Source organism: Homo sapiens, chromosome 7, assembly GCF_000001405.40.
Source record: "Homo sapiens chromosome 7, GRCh38.p14 Primary Assembly".
NCBI classification, from domain to species: domain Eukaryota; kingdom Metazoa; phylum Chordata; class Mammalia; order Primates; family Hominidae; genus Homo; species Homo sapiens.
This window is the reverse complement of record NC_000007.14, coordinates 17,385,230-17,407,570: the sequence shown is the minus strand read 5'-3', so window position 1 is coordinate 17,407,570 and position 22,341 is coordinate 17,385,230. Positions and strand designations below refer to the sequence as shown.

At 38.8% G+C, this 22,341-nt stretch overlaps 1 long non-coding RNA gene across 2 annotated transcripts in view, besides 1 other annotated feature; it reads right to left on the bottom strand.

The window, feature by feature from the left end:
* The window catches only part of LINC02888 (long intergenic non-protein coding RNA 2888), a 92,340-nt gene that overhangs the window by 59,686 nt on the left and 10,313 nt on the right, over window positions 1-22,341 (bottom strand). The gene's annotated exons all lie outside the window — the stretch shown is intronic.
* Window positions 957-2,156: an enhancer, noted in NCBI's record as "P300/CBP strongly-dependent group 1 enhancer chr7:17445039-17446238 (GRCh37/hg19 assembly coordinates)". NCBI's record gives its function as "activates an origin of replication core promoter dependent on BRD2, BRD4, P300/CBP, MED14 and CDK7 cofactors, with strong dependence on P300/CBP, by STARR-seq in HCT116 cells {active_cell/tissue: HCT116}" and the evidence as "EXISTENCE:reporter gene assay evidence [ECO:0000049][PMID:35650434]".

Below are 22,341 nucleotides of genomic sequence, written 5' to 3'. Positions count from 1 at the left end.
CTACTTCAGCTTTATAGTCTAGGTTTGTCATTCTATCTTCAGTCATGTCTAATAGGCTAAGCAGTATACCTATTGAATTTTTAATTTTAAGTACTGTAATTTTCATTTCTGAATGTCCTATTTTTAGTTTTTATTAGAACTGCCTAGTCATCTTTATAGTCACTTCTTCCTCATTCATGTATGTGACTTTCTTTTCCAACTTTATTCTTTTTCTTTAACTTTAAATACCAGTTTTGTAGTATAAATGTAACTAGTTCATTATCTAGGGCTGATTCTCTTGTTTATTGTTTCTACTGAAATTGACTCCTATTTCTTCTTTCATTTTGTAATTTTAGATTCTGGGATAATGTTGGGACTTTATAAATGGAAGTTCTTTGAGGTTGACAGTTGATTCATCTAGAGAAAATTATTTGCTTCTGTCAGGCAGTTAAGGAAGCTTCAAATCTAGGGTGGCAGGAGTCTTTTTCAGACAATGCAGTCGGTGAGATAGGGAATCCTGTATTAGTCAGAATTGTACAGAGATTAATAGGATGGATGGGTGGATGGATGGATAGATATATAAGAGAGATTTATTAGGAGAATTGGCTTACACAATTATGAAATCTGAGAAGGTCATCTGCAAGACGGAGAACCGGAAAAGCTGATGGTATGACTCTCAGCACAAGGTCAAAAGCCTGAGAACCCAGGAACTGCTGGTGCAAGTGCCTGAGTCCAATGGCTGGAGAACCTGGAGTTCTAATGTCCAAGAGCAGGAGAAGAAGGGTATCTCAGCTTGAAGGAGGAGAACAAATTTGCTTTTCCTTTGCATTTTCATTCTATTCTAGTCCTCAGCTGATGGGATGGTGCCCATCCACACTGAAGGCAGATTTTCCTTACTCAGTCCACTGATTCAAATGCCGATTTCTTCCAGAAAACCCTCACAGATGCACCCAGAAATAATGCTTTACCAGCTATCTAAGTATCCCTCAATCCAGTCAAATTAACACACAAAATTAACCATCACAGACCCTAACCTAGGGCCATTTGAGGACTAGCTCCGACTTATAAATTCTCACAAGATGCTCAAAAAATTCACCAGTTTTATTTGTTTCTTCATTCAGGGCAGGTTGTTTTTAATTTTTATTTTTTTCCTAATTTGCAGTTTCACTGAAGATGTAATTCATTATGGGTTCCAGAATTTGAATCTAACTCTCCCATTGTGCCGACCTGAGTTGATCTGTGTCACAACTGAAGCCCCAGGCCCCTGGAATTCATAGATGATTTCACTGCTTACAATTCTCTGAATTGGTCCTTCCCAGAACATTTAGCCTCTGATAACTCCAATGGTTTCCCTTACTCTTTCCAACACAGGCATGCATTTAAATGTGTTTTTCATTTTGTATCTACTACTTTTAGGTGCTTTGTAGCAGGATAGATTTTCAGGATATTTACTCTGCCAATACTGTTGGAAAAGGAAGTCTCTGTCTACTCTTCACCTTCCTGTAACCCCGTTTTGCCCCTAGCATTTTACAGATTCTATTCCTGCTAAGGTCACCAGTGACATCATAATTCCTAAATAAATACTCATCAGACCTTTTCTCACTCGGTAGCTTTCGAAACCTTCGTCCACTCTTTCCATGAATCACCCTTCTCCCTTGTATTATCTCATAATATTACACAGGCATGCATACACACACACACGTGCGCGCACACACACACCACACAAACCTTGGCATTTGCCGTTATGAGCTCTTAGGATATTATTTTCACACTGCCCTTCTTTCTAAAAAGGTCTACTAAGAAACATTAAAACAAAGAAATTTTCCTAATCCTCTATCCAATGAGATCCTGAACATACATCTTAATACCGCTGTCGCTTATTGCAAGAACCATTTGTCTCTCAAGTCTGCTCTGCCATTAATCTATTTTTTCATTAAAATTTATTTTTATTTTTTATTTTTAGATATGGGGTCCCACTGTGTTGCCCAGGCTTGCCTCAAACTCCTGGACTCAAGCAATCCTTCTGCCTTGGCCTCCCAAAGTGCTGTGACTATAGGTGTGAGCCACTTCACCCAGCCTTCCCTTTTTATCTTGAATAATATTCCTTGCCTTAAATTCTATTTTGTTTCATATTGGTTGCATGTTATACATTTTCCATTCTTTTACTTTTCTATATTCTTCTATATAAGGAAAATCTCTTGAAAGTAGCATATTTTTTTTTTTTCCAATCTGGCGATCTTTAGCTTTTAATTAGAGTACTTACTTTGCTGACATTTCATGTAATTACAAATATATTTGGGTTTAAATCTATCATCTTACTACCTTTTTTTAAATTATACTTTAAGTTCTGGGGTACATGTGCAGAATGTGCAGGTTACATAGGTATACATAGGTATACACGTGCCATGGTGATTTGCTGCACCCATCTACCCTAATACCTATGTCATCTACATTAGGTATTTCTCTAATGCTATCCCTCCCCTAGCCCCCAGCCCCCGACAGGCCCCGGTGTGTGATGTTCCCCTCCCTGTGTCCATGTATTCTCATTGTTCAGCTCCCACTTATAAGTGAGAACATGCGGTGTTTAGTTTTCTGTTCTTGTTTTAGTTTGCTGAGAACGATGGTTTCCAGCTTCATCCGTGTCCTTGCAAAGGACATGAATCCAGCAGCACACCAAAAAGCGTATCCACCACAATCAAGTCAGCTTCATCCCTGGGATGCAAGGCTGGCTCAACATATGCACATCAATAAACGTAATCCATCACATAAACAGAACCAATGACAAAAGCCACATGATTATCCCAATAGATGCAGAAAAGGCCTTCAATAAAATTCAACACCCCTTCATGGTAAAAACTCTCAATAAACTAGGTATTGATAGAACATATCTCAAAATAAGAGCTGTTTATGACAAACCCGCAGCCAGTATCATACTGAATGGGCAAAAACTGGAAGCATTCCCTTTGAAAACTGGCACAAGAAAAGGATGCCCTCTCTCACCACTCCTAGTCAACATAGTATTGGAAGTTCTGGCCGGGGCAATCAGCCAAGGGAAAGAAATAAAGGGTATTCAAGTAGGAAGAGAGGAAGTCAAATTGTCTCTGTTTGCAGATGACATTAATCTATTTTTAAAAAGGGGTGCCAGCCCCTCTTAGAAGTTTGCCTGTTGCTTAAAATCCTATCCATTACTGATTTTATTACACTCCTGCTTCAAATTTGATTCATTTGCTTATAATTACTGGCGAATAAATGGCTAGGTGCCACTTTCAACGGCAAGCTTACAGTTCTGTAGAAGCTATAAAAGTCAACTTCAGAACAGCTGCCGTAGGATGGCTTGGGTTGGGAGGTTCTAGAGCTATAAGTCACTTCACCACCAGAATGCCAGATCAAGGGTCTGCTTTTTAGTTGCACCCAACAGACAGGAAGCAGGCTTATCAGTGACTCTTTAGCAATGGCTAATAAAGAAGATAGCTTAGATGTGGAATCTCAAACAGCTGAATTCACAGTAGCAGAGAGTAGAATGGTGGTTATTAGGGGAAGGGGCTGGGAGAGAAGAAAGGGAAGGTGCTGGTCAAAGTGTATAAAATTTTAGGTATGTAGGGTGAATACATTCTAGAGATCTAATGTATAGCATAGTGACCATAGTTAGTAATACTATATTATATACATGAAATTTGATAGGAGAGTATATCTCAAGTATTCTCACCACACACATACACAAGGTAACTACCTGAGAAGATGGGTATGTTAATTAGCTAACGATAGCAGTCATTTAACTCTCTATATTAAAACATCCTGCTGTATACCTTAAATATATTCACTTTTTTTGAAACAGGGTCTCACTGTGCCACCCAGGCTAGAGTGCAATGGCACGATCAAAGCTCACTGTAGCCGTTATTTCCCAGGCTCAAGAGATTTCCCACCTCAGCGCTCCCAAGTAGCTGGGACCAAAGGCGTGCGCCACCACATTTGAGTTTTTTTTTTTTTTTTTTTTTTTTAAGTGGAGATGAAGTCTCGCTATGTTGCCCAGACTGGTCTCAAATTCCTGAGTTGAAGTGATCTTCTTGCCTCAGTCTCCCAAAGTGTTGGGATTACAGGCATGAGCCACCACACTTGGCCTGAAAATATTTTGAAAACTTTAAAAATAAAAAAAAAGAAGATAGCTTGGGGCCACCCTGAATATCGTTATGAGACTCACCTCTGTATGTTTTATAGTAAAATATTATTCATTTTACTCATAAATCATGTTCAAGTGATATTTGAGTGGAAATGTTTTTCTTTCAGCAAATTCAGAGGTAATATCAAGGAGCATGATCTGGAGAAGGCAGCGTGGGTCAAATACTAAAATCTGGACTTACTGTCTCAGCAGTTGGCAAGCAACCAAGGTGAAGCTAGTGCTGTGGAAAGTCCCCAAAGGACCAGAGCAGATATACTCAGTGTCCTTTACCTCTACAGCTCCGCATTTTCAAACTCCCCCACTTGTCCTTCAGTCCATCCTCTAAATACTGTTCTTTCTCAGCTTGTGTTCTCACTCATCATCTCTTCTCATGCCACCTGACCTCCTTATGTGAGGTTCTTGGCATCAGTCATCAGATTTACCCTGACAACTCCCACGGATACATGATTAGCTCTGATATCCACCGGGGTTTAAAGAACTGTTGCAAATTCTTCCTGATTACCTCCTCTTAAAGGCACCTCAAATTCAATGTGACTGAAACGGAGCTCTTCCCCTGTATATCAGCTGTCAGTTCTCATTGCTTCAGCACCTAGTAAATTCTCTCACCAGCTCACTCCTTTCAGACTACTCCATAAAATCAAGAAAAGCCTAAAATGGCCAAAAACTAACCTATCCTGCATAATCATCGCTTGTAATTTTGCCCACAACTTCAGTAGTTTGACGTAAAAGATGTTCCATTCTTTACCACTGAGTAAAGAAGTTAAAAATGTTCCGTAATTTCGAATTCCTCTTTGTTCTAAGACTTTACTCTCACCTCCGGGTTCACAGCTAAGCTCCCCCATGACTGATACCGCTGAAAGTCTTGTTTCAACAAAACATTCATGTATATGTAAAAAATAAATCATCTGACAAATTGAGAATTGCTCAATTTGAAAAACAGATTCAGTGATAAAGACAGAGGTCAATATTAAACCTATGAGTAAGGTAAAGAAATGGGCGGGAAGAAAAATAACCCCAAATCGTTGACTTCCCAGAACCCAGAGGCTAATAGGACTCTCACTTCCTGCTTGAGGTGAAAGCAAGCAAAGGCACCTCTGTTCCTATCTTGTCTTGGTCAAAAGATAAATATGAATTATTATTCTTTTCTTTTTTCATCAGTAAAGAACTTTCCATCACCCTTTTGGCAACTTTCTGCACCAGCCACTTCCCCCTCATAACTCCAGTCAACCGTTCTCACATCTGAGAAAAATAGGTGGAGGATATTTCCAGGAGCCTCTGTTGCTGAGGTTGCCCACAGTCAGGTAAAAGTGGGAGAAATTTCTGAACCACCAAAAACCTGTTCCTGAGAGACAGAAGTAGAAAAAACTTACACATATTTTTAAAAAAGAGAAGTTGAGGTGTAGGGGGATGGTGACTCAATAAAACTTCCTCCCATGATAAAATAAAGTAAAATAAAATAAAGTGAAAGTGTCTGCCACTACATTCTCAGAAGCCAAGCGTAGTCTTTTTATAGCCACCTCAGGGAGTATCTTCAGGATCTCCAAGCATTTAGATATTCCCAACTTCCACATATTTAGCACCTGGGGTGACAGGAAGGGTGTGTTCAACTCCATTAGCAGTATCCTTTGGAAAGGAAGCTGGGTGCACTCTTTCAGAACTGCTTAACATTTCCCTTTTAAAAAGATAGATCGGTAGAATTTAGTGAATTTTCCATATAGCTTAATTTCAATTCCATGTAAGAGCAAAATAACAAAATGGTCATATTTCTTTTATATTTGCTTTCTTCTTTTCTGAGCAGTTGGTGAGAGAGAGGTTGGTTTCTGGGAAGGTGATAATTTGGAGTCTTATTTTTTTTCTGCCCATTTCATATTATAGATTTAATATTGGCTCTGGATCATTGAATGTATTCTTCAAACTGAATGATGCTAGTGAGATGACTTCATTTATACATACATTGATACTTTATTTAAAGGCTCATGTTTTGTTAAGTTCTGTCTTAGGAGAAAATGACCCATGCTTTAAATAGTAGTACGTATGCTTCAGGAAAAAACATATGGTCATCACAATCTCACCATCTACTCTACCTGCTGAGATGGATGTTGGTTTAGGCATCCAGGTTCAAGCTCTGATTTCTATGTTTCTCAAATTTTGTTGTGTAGATGTTACATAATAGATGAAAGGGAGAAAAAGACTTCAAATTAGTCCACTGTGACTTGATTGCTTTGGACTGGAAAGGGCAGAGGGTCAGTAAATAAACAGAAGAGCTGCTTCTGTGCAAAGAGAAAGAGGACAGAAGCCAATGTGGGCTGCACTAAGAGTGAGCTTGAGTCAAACTGAGCAAAGGGAAGGCAACTCCTTTTCTGGTGAGACAATTATAGGAGTCTCAGGGAAAGAAGATTTTAGGAAGTATTTCTCTGCATCAGAAGTAGAATGTTCCTCTAGAATTTTTCAGGACACCTCATTAGAGATTTAAATTGCTTTCAGTTGCTGTTTGTGGGTATTGTACTGTCTCTTCGATTGCTGTAGGATACTGAGGTGGGCTCTAAAGGAGTAGCAAAAGCTCTGCCTGTTTATGGCTCAGTCCCATCGCAGTGGGATTACATTCTCCTTAAGAACTCAAGACACTTGAAAGTCACGTCAACATTTTAGGCCCTGCCTGTACTGAGTTAAATAATTTATTTCAACATAATTTGTTACTTTCGTTGTTATTATACTCGTATTTATTATTAAGTGATTATAATGTAGAAGGAATTGTGCTAAGTGTTATGCATGAGGTAATTTGATTAATCCTTCTACAATCTGAGGCTGGTGCTATTTTTATCCCCATTTAAAGACTGAGGACACTGAGACACAGATTTGACAGTCTGGCCAGTCCTACAGCAAATACGTGCCTATGCCAGGGTTCAAATGGAAGATGCCTGACCTCTAAGTCTAAGATTTTAGGCTTTGACTCAAAGGATCTGCTCAGCTTATGTGCAGAACTCCTAAAAATGAAACCATAGAGACAATTTTGAATTTAGAGTTATAAAACTCACACTTAGGTTTTTAAAAGCACAGTCATGAATAATATATCCTAAAATCCTGTCTTTAAATGGACTGGACTAGTTTTTCACAGGGAAAGTGATATTACTGTCCTCTGGGGGAAAAGTGATACTTTGATCTCATCACTAGAACTTCCTCCTAAAAGGATATGTCCAGAAAGGAATTAGAAGTTGAAAATGTTTCCTTTTACCTTAAGACTATTCCATACACCCTTCTAATTAAATAGGATGATTTTATGTTAAAAGGTTTGCTTATTCTCATCTCTTCCCAAATCTAAGAGATCCAGAAGACAATCTGGAGTCTGACACCGAGCCTCCCTGTCATTCATCATCTTTGAAAGTCACGTGTTGTGAAATGTGTATCAGTTACCCTCAAGATACAAGGAAATGGTTCAAAGAGACAGAAGGAGTTCTATTTTTCAGTTTCTCTTTTTGCAGCTTCAAAATTTGGCTTTTGGATTCCTGCAGGTAGATTTTGAAAACAATATGTTCTTCCAGGGGGCTAAGAAAATGAACGAATATGTGGGGAAAAAAAAGGGTGTTTCCTTTTTTTTTTAGATTTCAAAGTAACTAGTTTTCTTTCCATTCGTGAATGCATACATATATACATACACACATGTGCACACACACACACTCTCCAACTTCTACTCTGCCCTCCCCACAATGATATATAAATGCATACACAAATACACACACACACACACACACACACACAGTTGACCCTTAACCAACATGGTTGGAACTGTTTGAGTCCACTTATAAGTAGGTTTTCTTCCATCTTTGCCACTCTGGAGACAATAAGACCAACCCCTCCTCTTCCTCCTCCTCAGCCTACTCAACATGAAGATGAAGAGCATGAAGACCTTTATGATGATCCACTTCCATTTAGTGAATGGTAAATATATTTTCTCCTCCTTATATTCTTAATGTTTTCTTTTCTCTAGCTTACTTTATTGTAAGAATACAGTTTATAATACATATAACAGACAAAATATGTGTTAATTGACTATTTACATTATTGGTAAGGAGTCAACAGTAGGCTATTGGTAGTTAAGGTTTTGAGGAGTCAAAATTTATATGTGGGGCCAGGCATGGTGGCTCATTCCTGTAATCTCAGCACTTTGGGAGGCTGAGTTGGAAGGATCACTTGAGCTCAGGAGTTCAAGACCAGCCTGGGCAACATGGTGAAGCCCCCTCTCTACAAAAAACAAAAATTAGCCAGGTGTGTTGGTACACGTCTGGTCCCAGCTACTTGAGGGGCTAAAGTGGGAGGATGGCTTGAGCCCGGGAACCGAGGTTGCAGGGAGCCGAGATGGCACCAATGCACTCCAGCCTGGGCGACAGAGCAAGACACTGTCCTTAAAAAAACAAAAACCAGTTATATATGGATTTTTGACTGCTTAGAGGGTTGGTCCCCCTCGTTCCCCCACCGCTGTTGTTCAAGGGTCAACTGTATATCATTATAAATATATACATACACACTCAGTTACATACACAGTCAGATATTATGAAACATTTTTTCTTTTGTCAGTATTCTTCTTAATACTCTAAAGCCTTAAACAACACTAGAGATAACTTCCAAATTATAAACTACTTCTAGCAGTTCTGGCTGCCCAAGAATGTGAAGTTCTGGAAAGTCTCTCAGTGGATGCCACAACAGGGATAAAAACTCTACTTTGAACAACTGCCTTTCCAAAAATATTCCTACACATATTATTGACAGGATTACCTGGCAGCAAGTAAGGGGATGAAATGGTGATGCAACCTGTTTTACCCAGGAAAAGCAAGAATGCCAAACGTTGACCCAAGAAACAAACCAATATAGAGGAAAATATGACTGACCTACATGCCATGTGCATTCCCCTTTGGAAAACATATTGAGAGGAAATGAAGAATTGGATATCTAGGCTGGACGTGGTGGCTCATGCCTGTAATCCCAACACTTTGGGAGGCTGAGGCAGGTGGATCACTTGAGGTCAGGAGTTCAAGACCAGCCTGACCAACCCAGTGAAACCTCATCTCTACTAAAAATACAAAATTAGCTGGGCATGTTGGCACACACCTGTAATCCCAGCTACTTGGGAGGCTGAGGCAGGAGAATTGCTTGAGCTCAGGAGGCAGAGGTTGCAGTGAGCCGAGATTGCACCGTTGCACTCCAGAGTGGACAACAAGGGCAAAACTCCGTCTCAAAAAAACAGAAAAACAAAAATAGAATTGGATATCTAAGTATATTAAGGATATGACAGACAAGTTCACATAATGTGTGAAAGTCGGCTTACTCTGGTAATGAGGAAATTACAGTTCTTGGTGAATGGAGAAGTCCCTGGAGCCTAACCCCTAAAGTTCTTTTGTCCCACTTTCCTCTCTTCTAAGTACCTTTTGACATGATTATTTGACATTTATAATGCTCAAACACAAAAACATTTGGTTTAAGGGCTTGGGGAGTGTTTTAACATCCTGAATACAGAAAATACATGTCACATCCACATATGCGTGCACACACATTCACATGCACAGATATCTTCCAGCTTTTACTCCATCTCCCTGCCTCCACTCTATACCACTCAACAGCCAGAGTATTTTCTTAAAAAATATAAATTGTATCTTGCCTATCCCATGCTTTCCTTGGTTTGCAGTTTTATGCAGGAAAAAAGAAATTCTTTACTGTGGCCTTCAAGGTCTGTCATGATTTGCCCTATTCACCTCATTAGTTCATGTTATTCTACCCGACCGTTTGCCCACCATCTCCTGCGACTATGTTTCCTTGTGTTTCCTCCATAAGCTAAGCTTGTTTCTGCTTCCAGACCTTTTGTTAACCTGACATGTTTTTATGGCTGGCTTTTTTTTTTTTTAGTTTTTCTCATTTTTCTAGTTTTCCTTTTTTCCTCAGAAATGCCATTCCTGACTATCCAATTTAAAATGAGTCTCTTGGCCAGACATGGTGGCTCATGCCTGTAATCTCAGCACTTTGGGAGGCTGAGGGGGTGGGTCTCTTGAGGCCAGGAGTTCTAGACCAGCCTGGCCAACATGGCAAAACCCCATCTCTACCAAAAATACAAAAATTATCTGGGTGTGGTGGCACGTGCCTGTAGTCCCAGCTACTTAGAAAGCTGAGGCAGGAGAATCACTTGAACCCAGGAGGTGGAGGTTGCAGTGAGCCGAGATCACGCCACTGCACTCCAGCCTGGGTGACAGAGTGAGACTCTATCTCAAAAAAAAATTAATAAAAATAAAAAAATTAAAGTGAATCTCTCAATACTATCCTCATGACACCTTGTTCTCATTTAAAACACTTGTTCTAACTTATAAGTATGTGTTTATGTATTTACTTGCTTAAATCCAGTCTTGTATGCTAGAATATAAGTTAAAATAATGCAGGAACAGTATCTGACTTATTTTCTTATGTTTATTTAGACTCCGGCCCATCATTTGGCACTAGGGTGTGTGTGAGACTTTAAACTCTCCACTGTTTTCACCTATTTCCTCCAGTGAGGAGGAAACAAAACTTGGAAGCCATAGTGAATTTTGCAATGAAGTGAGGCAATAGGACACTCCCAGCTAATCTGTAGGTATACCCATAACATAGAAAAACAGCCAGTTAACTAAGGAGGTACCTTCAGCAATGCGATTTTTCCAGAAGAATTCCAACCCTAAATTTTGGTCAGTCTCATCATGGTGATTATATGAGATACGATGGGCATGGGCACGGTCAGCCCAAATATTAAAACTCAGACCTTATTATTCCATAATGACCACTTGGGCTCCCAGGTTGGCTCCTCAACTCTTTCTGATCGTGTGCAAGTAGAAAACATACCAGTCAAATTGGAGGTTTGTGTCCTACAGAGGAAGGAGCAGATTAGACAAATTCTTCATTTCTCACTAGTTCTTTTGGTGTCATATTGACCTTGCCATTAGCTTTAGACACTCTGCAAAGTAGTCACTTTTAAAATGTCATATTTCAAAATGGTCATGATGGTGATGGCTGCTACTTACTAGGGCACAGAAAAGAACATCTGTCACTTAATATGGCTCTGAAGAATCTTGGAGAATGTTTCCATCATTTCATGGAAAACTTTGAGTCAGATCACTTTACATATTTCAATTGCCATATTTATTCACAGAAATTACATTTTTTTTGCAAGACTGCAAATGTTTTTGAGATTTGGGGAAATGAAAAATAACTCTTGAAGTGCTGCAGATGCATTCCTCTGAATGGCTTTTCTTTCCTTAATACTGTCTTCTTGTCTCTCACTAAGTAGCTTCTGTATTGTTAACTCTCTTGCTGTTAGTAGTTCCTTAGCCCTTGGTTATTTTCTTGTGGTAAGCCTAATTTTCAGACTGATATGTAAATCTTAAAGAAGAAATTAGTGCTTAATTATAAAGATGTGGATACAATGGACTTATAAACTATATAAACCTTAGAGAAATTTGTAAAGAATCTTTAAGCACGATTTGGACCACTGCTTATAAAGCTACATTTATTGATAGAAAACTTTCATTATCTTTCTTTAGATGCTTCAGAAAAATTCCTGAATTATTATTTTCAATATGTATATGTATATACATTTCAACTTTTAAAATTCAAACACATAGGTTTAAACTTGTAGCTGGGTGATATGGTTTGGCTGTGTCCTCACCCAAATCTCATCTTGAATTGTAGCTCCCACAATTACCACATGTTGTGGGAGGGACCCAGTGGGAACTAATTGAATCATGGGAGCAAGTCTTTCTCATGCTATTCTCATGATACTGAACAAGTCTCACAAGATCTGATGGTTTTATAAAGAGGAGTTCCCCTGCACAAGTTATCTTCTCTTGTCTGCTGCCATGTGAGACATGCCATTCACCTTCTGCCATGATTGTGAGGCCTCCCAAGCCATGTGGAACTGTGAGTCAATTAAAACTTTCTTTTGTAAATTGCCCAGCCTTGGGTATGTCTTTATCAGCAGTGTGAAAATGTACTAATACAGTAAATTGGTACCAGTAGAGTGAGATGCTGCTGAAAAGATACCAGAAAATGTGGAAGTGACTTTGGAACTGGGTAACAGGCAGAGGTTGGAACAGTGTGGAGGGCTCACAAGAAGACAGGAAAATGTGGGAATGTTTGAAACTCCCTAGAGACTTGTTGAATGGCTTTGACCAAAATGCTAATAATGTTACGGACAAAGGTATCCAGGCTGAGGTGGTTTCAGATGGAGATGAGGAACTCATTGGGAACTGCAACAAAGGTGACTCTTGTTATGTTTTAGGGGCATTTTGCCCCTGCCCTAGAGATCTGTGGAACTTTGAGAGAGATGATTTAGGGTATCTGGCAGAAGAAATTTCTAAGCAGCAAAGCATTCAAGAGGTGACTTGGGTGCTGTAAAAGGCATTCAGTTTTAAAAGGTAAACAGAGCACAAAGTTTGGAAAATATAAAGCCTGACAATGTGACAGAAAAGAAAATCCCATTTTCTGAGGAGAAATTCAAGCTGGCTGCAGAAATTTGCATAAGTAACAAGAAGTTGAACGTTAATCGCCAAGACAATAGGGAAAATGTCTCCAGGGCATGTCAGAAACCTTTGTGGTAGCCCCTCACATCACAGGCCCAGAGGCCTAGGAGGAAAAAATGGTTTCCTGGGCCAGGCTAAGGTCCTCATGCTGTGTGCAGCCTGGGGACTTGGTGCCCTGCATCCCAGCCACTCCAGCCATGACGACAAGGGGCCAAAGCATAGCTCGGGTCATGGCTTCAGAGGGTGCAAGCCCCAAGCCTTGGCAGCTTCCATGTGGTGTTGAGCCTGCAGGTGCACAGAAGTCAAGAATTGAGGTTTGGGAACTTCCGTCTAGATTTCAGAAAATGTGTGGAAATGCCTGGATGTCCAGGCAGAAGAAGTTTGCTGCAGGGGCAGGCCCTCATGAACAACCTATTCTAGGGCAGTGCAGAAGGGAAATGTTGGGGGGTGCCCCTATACACAGTCCCCACTGGAGTGTGTGTATCCCTACCTAGTGGAGCTGTGAGAAGAGGGCCACTATCCTTCAGACCCCAGAATGGTGGATCCATGGACAGCTTGTCCTGTGCACCTGGAAAAGCCACAGACACTCAATGCCAGCCCATGAAAGCAGCCAGGAGGGAGACTGTACCCTGCAAAGCCACAGGGGTAGAGCTGCCCAAGACCATGGGAACCTACTTCTTGCATCAGCATGACCTAGATGTGAGACATGGAGTCAAAGGAAATCATTTTGGAGCTTTAAAATTTGACTGCCCTGCTGGATTTCAGACTTGCATGGGGTTTTCAGCCCCTTCATTTTGGTCAATTTCTCCCATTTGGAATGGATGTATTTATCCAATGCCTGTACCCCCATTTCATCTAGCAAGTAACTAACTTGCTTTTGACTTTACTGGCTCATAGGCAGAAGGGACTTGCCTTGTCTCCAATGAGATTTTGGACTTGGACTTTTGAGTTAATGTTGAAATGAGCTAAGACTTTGGGGGACTGTTGGGAAGGCATGATTGGTTTTGAAATGTGAGGACGTGAGATTTGGGAGGGGCCAGGGGAGGAATGATATGGTTTGTCTGTGTCCCCACCCAAATCTCACCTTGAATTTTAACTCCCACAATTCCCACACGTTGTAGGAGGGACCTGGTGGGACGTAATTGAATCATGGGGGTACTTCTTTCCTGTGCTGTTCTTGTGATAGTGAATAAGTCTCACAAGATCTGTTGGTTTTATAAAGGGGAGTTTCCCTGCACAAGTTCTCTTCTCTGGTCTGCCATGATTGTGAGGCCTCCCCAGCCACATGGAACTATGAGTCCATTAAACCTCTCTTTTGTAAATTGCCCAGTTTTGGGTATATCTTTATCAGCAGCAGCAACATGGAAATAAATACACTGGGCAAACAAAATAAAAAGCAAGACACTCACTCAAATATCCTGCATTTAGGAAAACAAGCAAGCAAAAAGAAAAACCAATGGTCATTGCAGAGGATCCATAAAGCCAACCATTTCAGATGTATTACCAAGAAAAATTGTTACAAAACTTCTGTAATACCAAGTAAACTATACCTGTAAGAAAAAAGTTTAGTCAGTTGAGGAGTATATCTCACAATTTGGGTTTAGAACAATACTTTTTAAGTGTTAGTGATTGTTTAATTCTTACCCGAAAGGCATAAGAAACATGCATTGGTTCTTTGAATTTACATAAAAGTAGAAAGAAAAATAGGAGTTTATTAGTGTTGGATGCTTTTGTGCTTATGTAACAAAAAAGTCTGGCTGAAATGCTTTGGCAAGTATGCAATGCATAATATAGTGTAATACTTATGGTGTTTTGGAAGAAAAATAAAGCTGCTGAGATATTGTGGTTTTGAACTTGGCATAAGAGTTGTAGAACAAAGTTGGCCCATGTACTTTCACAAGAACTTGCACAATGGATAACAGACTTTCTAAGAAGTATGTATAATGAAGTGATAAGCAACTTGATGCATTGAGTCCTACTGTAACTTTTTTAGGGTCCATATATTAAGAGTCTTAAAAGGAGATTATTTTATAGAGAAGGGTCCCTGAGACACCAATAAATGAACCTCTGGAATGTAGTTTAAGAAAGTCATATTTTATCCCAAGTTATATTCAAGATGAATTGTAATATAGCAGCATTTTAATTATATGAGCATTGATACTTAGTGAATATCTCCTATGTGCTGCCTTCTACAGAGGATACAAATATTAGTAAGACAGACAAGAGAGACCCTGTCTTTGTAGAATTTATGTCCTCATGGTCTTCCCATGTAGGCATATAGCCATAACAATTCTATAAGGAAAAATAATATAAGTGCTATCAGAGATAAAAAATTTCTGTGCTCCAGGTAGTTAGTATAGTTTGGATGTTTGTCCCCTCCAAATCTCATGTTGAAATGTAATCCCCCATGTTGGAGGTGGGGCCTCGCATGAGGTGTTTGGGTCATGGGGGCAAATCCCTAATGAATGGCTTGGTGCCCTCTCCATGGTAATGAGAGTTGCTCACTCTGTTAGTTCATAGGAGAGCTGGTTGTTAAAAAGAATCTGGCTCTCTCTCCCTTTGTCTTGCTTCCTGTCTCACCTGTGACACATCTGCTACCCCTTCACCTTCTGCTGTGACTGAAAGCTTCCTGAGGCTGCACCAGAAGCCAAGCAGATGCCGGGGTCATGCCTCTGCTTGCCCTGCAGAATCACGAACCAAATAAACCTCTTTTCTTTATAAATTACCCAGTCTCAATGTTCTTTTATAGTAATGCAAAATGGGCTAACACTGTAGTGGGTCAGGGAAGGCTTTGCTAGTGTCACTTTTTAATCTCTACAAGAGAGCTATTCCCATGATCACAACCAATATCGAAATCTGAATAAAACCACCTATCCAAAGACAGAAGAATATAATGAGTATAGAATGGAGAAAATTAAATCCTCAAATATGCATATTTAAGATGCTATAACAATGAATGGAGATTCTTTCCATGGGAAGATGGAGGAGTTAAAAATTTCCTCTTTGTGGTGCTCTCTTCCATATCATTTGGCTGATGGAGTTTTTATGGGAGTGTCCCGTGTTCTGAAGCAGCATCCATTTGGGGCCCTTTGGAAATGGGGCACTTCTTAAACCTGGTATTGTAATAAAGGGGTAGGTTTAGTGCGTAAAGTACCAATGGCCACATCTCTGTGTGCTAGAGCAGGAGGGAGCTTAGGATTTGTTACTAATCTCTATCTAGAAATCAGGAGCCTATCTTTTCTTTTTTTTTCAGTGAATCCCACAAAAATAATTCCCGCAGAGGAGGTGTCATCTGCCACTGGCAGCTCATAAAGGATTTTAGGATTTGCCATCCCAGCTGTTTCTCTCTTACAAGCTTTATAAAAGAGCTTTTGAAGTGAACTTGAAAGTCACAAGGGATTTCAACTAGCAGAAATAGGAAAATCTGAGAAAGAGGAAATCATATATATACACAGGTGTACAGAAGAGTGGGAGAGGTTGGGGGTAGGGGTAGCAAAGAGTTTTATTTGGTTGAAAAAAGAGATAAGCACGTGTTTCAAGAGAAGCAATGCTGAAAAGAGGTTTGGGGTCATATTGAAAATCTGGACAAGAAAGCTGAAATACATTTAGCAGGAGTTAACATGTCTTCAGCAATTCTACTTGAATATATGACCAAGATGCCTTCCCTATGTCCTAGAGGAAGATGAAATTTTTTTTTTCATTTTACTTCTATCTCTTTTAATCTATACTGTAAACTCCATCCTCCCACTTTTAGAGAGAATCTTGGGGTAGATCTCACAGCTTATGCGGGTATTAAATAAGGAGTCTCCTTTTCCAGGTATTAAAAAGCTTTGTCCAGCATAATATCAAAACTCAAAGCTGTCATCCAACTTACAACTTATATTTTTCCTCAGGCTGGGGATCTTGCAGTGGGGAAAGGAGGAGGGGTTAGCTCCTTCTCTCCCTGGGACCACCTCCTCTCTTACGTCCTAGCTGCATTTTCTGGTGGACAAAGGAGGACAGGAAGAAGCAGTAAATGAAGGGGAGTCTTATTTGATTGGCACAGTTAACAGGGCACTGGTACCCGCTAGTCATGGCAGATGACAAAGCTGACTCTCTCTTGCAGGACACTTCTGACAGTTCCTTAGATTCTATACCTACTTTACCTCCCAGACCTCCCACCGCATTTGCCTAGAGAGCCCCCTCAGCTTCAGTAACGAATGTTTGCTGTGCTCACAGCCAGAAGCCCTTTTCCTTTTCAAGAGTGTTTGTAGCCAGCTCCCTATCCAGCCGATGAAAAGCATGCATCTTGTATTTGCTGTTGTTGAAGGACTGCCCTTTTTCTCTTCAGTTTGCCTTCTCAAAACGCTGGACTATTTTTAGACTGTCCCCTAATTCCACATGCCAGCAGAAACATGACAAGTTCTCCAACTCTTCTTTCAAAGTTCCCTCACTTGATTTGAGATGAATAAAAAGACTCCTTTCCCATCCCCCTTGGAGAAATACATAATACATTTACTACTTGCTTCAAATGAATACCTATTACCTTGATTTTCATGCAAGAATATGTTATATCATCTGGATATGGACTATCAGTTGCACAATTTAGGATGTCCTGAATAGATAGTATTATTCTCCCATTTCGAATCTCAGGTTTCTTGGCACTTATTGGTTTTAGGGGCCTCTGCTGAAATTTGGCAAGAGAATAGTTTTAATTTAACATCTTATTTTGTACGCAAACAACAGATCCACTGTTTATGAATGGCATTTCTAAAAGTCCACCTGTAAGTTATTTCTTTGGAACACTGAGCTTGTGTCCCATAAAAACCATCCGTAATTGTCATGTGTGAGATCCAGAGAGGATCTCAAAGGCTTATGTGGATCACAGTTATTGACACTGACCATATTAAAACAGAGAAATTTTTTAAACACAAAAGTACACAAGCACCTGGTTCTTTTAGCGGTTAGAGCACTGATATCACCTGTTAGCCTCTGGAAAGCTCCACTACACACTTGTGAGAGAACAAGTGAAAAAGGCACAGAGCATGTTGGTATTGTTATGAAAATAATTTTGACATCATTAACTTCCTGATGGGATCTCAGAACACCCCTCCTCCCCAGGGTTCACCCAACCATACTTTGAGGCTCACTTGTCAAGGGTGAGGACGAACTGAGGTCTAGGAAAGAAGAATTGTGTTCAGTACTCTCAAGTAAAAAATTCAGATAGTGATCATGAGAAGGCTGGGTGACAGGGATGGGACAACCCACAAAAAATATTCTGCAAAGTATTACATCACTGAAATAAAAGTATGTTTTTCTTCATTAAATATTTACATGACAAGCACTGGAAATACGGAAGTAGCTAAGACAGAGACTTTGGTCACATGGAATGTGTATTCTACTTTATACAGCAGACACTACAGTAAACAAAGAAACAAGTTGACTTGAGAATCGCAAGACCTCCAAAATAAAAAGCAACTTGCATAAAATCTGAATAGAAAAATAGACAATAGAATTTAAGCTTCAGAAGCAAAGGTCCAGCTTTCAAAAAATTATGCTAATCCTTGCAGGATACATTAAATTTTTTCTTAATACAGCATGGCAGCAGGAAACAATGAGCCCAATTATGCACTTCCAGTCCTAAATCAACTCTAAGTCAGAGCAAGTCTTTAGAGGAAATAAAGTTTGGACCATTTTAAGTTACAGATTTCCTCAAAAATCAACCCTGATTATAGATAAGGGAAGCAAGGGCACATACAGAGGATGAGCCACAGTCAATCATATTTGCTATGAGAATGATACACTTGTGTTCCAAATGAAAAGTTCTACCAAGAAATTAAATGCCTTGATTTTTCTACCACTGAGAACTTTCTTTGACAGAGACTTCAGATTGGAAGTCATTCAGCAAATTTCACACCTAAGTTAGTCTTCATCTGTTGTACTTCTGAGTACACAGTCCCTGTGTATTTGTGTAGGTGTTAGATGTGTGCATTTTAGAGTATGTTTTATATGGCAGTGTTTCCAAAAGGATTTGCAATATTCTCTAATATTAAAAGTAATCAGCTATGTCAGGGTATTCAGTTTAAAATTTTCATTTAGAGAGTCACCATAAATCTATTCTCTATTCATAGGATTTTACGTACAATTTCAACTTCAGACTTAGTTTGTTTGGGTGTTATTTTTTCGTTTTTGTCTTATGAGGAGTGAGGTTTTCCTTCATTTGTTTACCCAGAAATATTAATCCATGGCTGACAAATGTTTTGCCTTATATTATTATTTACAATAAAAGAATTTGGGCAGAATATATGTGGGAGATCTGATAGAAATACTTAAGGGCTAACATTATTGATCAGTAGTTTTTATGCATATATGACATTTATATAAAATGATATTTTATTAAAGATTTTAGAACTTATATATACAAATGAATGTTTTGCCTTCAAAGTAGTCACTATGAGCTGATGCAATTATTTCTCAGAGTATTTAAATATGGTCTCATTGCTTAATAGTCACATATAACAAATATGCCATACAAGTATGTATTACATACATTTCCACAAACATTCATAATGCTTACATGTAAACTAGCCATATTAGCAGATTTAAAATTTCTACTATATTCCAAATAAAGTATTGTTCAACTTTAATATAAATAATTTAAAATGTTTGATGTTTTCTAAAATCATAAAAACCCTAGAAGAAAACCTAGGTAATACCATTTAGGACATAGGCATGGGCAAAGATTTCATGACTAAAACACCAAAAGCAATTGCAACAAAAGCCAAATTGACAAATGAAATCTAATTAAACTAAAGAGCTTCTGCACAGCAAAAGAAACTGTCAGAGTGAACAGGCAACCTACAGAATGGGAGAAAATTTTTGCAAGCTACCCATCTGACAAAGGTCTAACATCCAGCATCTACAAGGAACTTAAATTTACAAGAAAAAAAACAACTCCATCAAAAAGTGGGAGAAAGATATGAACAGACACTTCTCAAAAGAAGACATTTATGTAGCCAACAAACATATGAAAAAAAAAATCTCATCACTGGCCGCTAAAGAAATGCAAATCAAAACCACAGTGAGATACCATCTCACGCAAATTAGAATGGCGATCATCAAAAAGTCAGCAAACAACACATGCTGGTGAGCCTGTGGAGAAATAGGAATGCTTTTACACTCTTGGTGGGAGTGTAAATTAGTTCAACCATTGTGGAAGACAGTGTAGTGATTACTCAAGGATCTAGAACCAGAAATACCATTTGACCCAGCAATCCCATTCCTGGGTATATACCAAAAGAATTATAAATCATTCTACTGTAAAGACACATGCACATATATGTTTATTGCAGCACTATTTACAATGGCAAAGACTTGGAAACAACCCAAATGCTCACCAATGATAGACTAGATAAAGAAAATGTGGCACATACACACCATGGAATGCTGTGAAACCATAAAAAAGAATGAATTCGTGTACTTTGCAGGGACATGGATGAAGCTGGAAACCATCATCCTCAGCAAACTAACCCAGGAACAGAAACCAAAAACTGCATGTTGTCACTCATAAGTGGGAGTTGAACAACGAGAACACATGGACACAGGAGGGGAACATCACATACCGGGGCCTGTCGGGGGGTGGGGGGCAAGGAGAGGGAGAGCATTAGGACAAATACCTAATGCATGCAGGGCTTAAAACCTAGATGATGGGTTGATAGGTGCAGCAAACCACCATGGCACATGTATACCTATGTTAGAAACCTGCACATTCTGCACATGTATACCAGAAGTAAAATTAAAAAAAAAAATGGCCTCAAGATTACAGAAATATATCTCTGACAATTTAATACGCACAAAATCGTTTGATGTTTTGGTTTGTAAGTTACATAGCTTTTGTAAGTTTTTCCTTGTTTTCCATCAATGTTGAGGCCACCATGACTGAGCTGTGTTGTCATTTAAATACTTATTTGCTGCAGCATAACAACAAAAGGAGAACAACAAATCCCCTGCCCATGATACCATATACTTTTTTTCTTGTAGAAACATCTAAATCTTTCCTTAGGCATTTTACATCACTTCTTAAAGAGAAATATTTCATTAAACAGTCTTGGAAGACATGGAAAAGCCAGATTTCAAAGTCCCTTCACTTTATTTGAGATGAATAAAAATCCATGCACCAGCACCAACAACTTTTTGTGCCAATGACTTTAGTTTCCTCAAATCACAGCCAATAGCATAAAACCAAAGTCTCAGGCAAAGTGTAATGATCTTTCATGCTGTGCCTGGATTTTGTAAGGCTCTGCATTGAACCTTCCAAAATGCACATACGTGACTAAGAACCACTGGTGTTAACTGATTATGTATTTGGAGAAAACATGTATGTTTTGAAAATTTTGATTTTTCTCCTAATTATACTGCCAAATCCGTATATCAGTTACAGGTAGAATAAGAATTTGTTGTTAAAAAACAGCTGTATCTACTTTAGAATTAAAAGAAACTAGAAATGAATATTTGGTAACTCTTTGAAGAAGGGCTTCATAGATTTAAAAGAGGTAGAATAAATTATAATTGAATAATCAAAAGATAAAATTATTAAACATTTATATTTCTGGAAATAACTGAAATAGGTAGCCAAATTACCAAACACAGATATAATCTGTAGTAATTCCAACAGGCATATTTTATTACCTCTATTACAGAGCTGTTTATTCAAGCTGATAGAAAAAAACACTAACATGTTCAATAAATTAATGGGCAAAGAGTCGAAATGAACTGTTGCAAAAGAAAGACACAAAAAGGCAATTTGCATAAAATTATCTATCTCCACTAGAAATGGAAGAGATACTGTTAAGTTTAGCCTAAAGCTGCATCTTCACATATTCTTAGTTCAGCCTAAAGTTTCTCCATACACAGTGAGCTATAACTTAGTTATAATCCACTAACTAAGTGAATCAAAGTGGCCAATCAAAGGTGGCAACTATTCAAACTGTGTTCAATCAAATAAGGCAAACACTGGGTTTTAACCAGTTGTCTATTTCTATATCTCACTTCCACTTTCTGTGTGTCATGTTCCTTTTTCTGTCCATAAATCTTCCATCACATAGCTATGCTGGAGCCTCTCTGAACCTATTCTGGTTGGGGGCTGCCCAATTCATGAATAATTCTTTGCTACATTAAACTCTGTTCAATGCAATTTGTCTAAGTTTTTTATCAATTCATATTATGACAAGAAGTTTACCTATGAAATTAACCATAAAAAAATTTAAAAAATTTTCAGTGTTAGTAATATGTGGTCACTACAATACTCTCTCATGAACTACTCTAGGAACCACGATTTTTAAAACTCTTTTGGAAAACAATTTGGTGATATGCATCATAGACCTTCAAATAATATCTTTTGACCGAATAATTCACTTGGATTGTTACTTTACCTTTTAGAAAGTTTGGGACATTAAAATGATAATGACAGTGTCATTTTAAATGACAAATTAAATGTTAAGATCAGAAAATGGTTAAGTAAATTACCATACACCAACATGATGGAACATTTGGTTTCCACTGAAAAAGATATCTGAATCTTTTAGAAAGCAGTGGTACCTTTGGGGCCAGCTTGCCATTTTGCAAATCCCCATATATTAGCTGTATGTCCTTGGACAAATGACATAACCTCTCTGG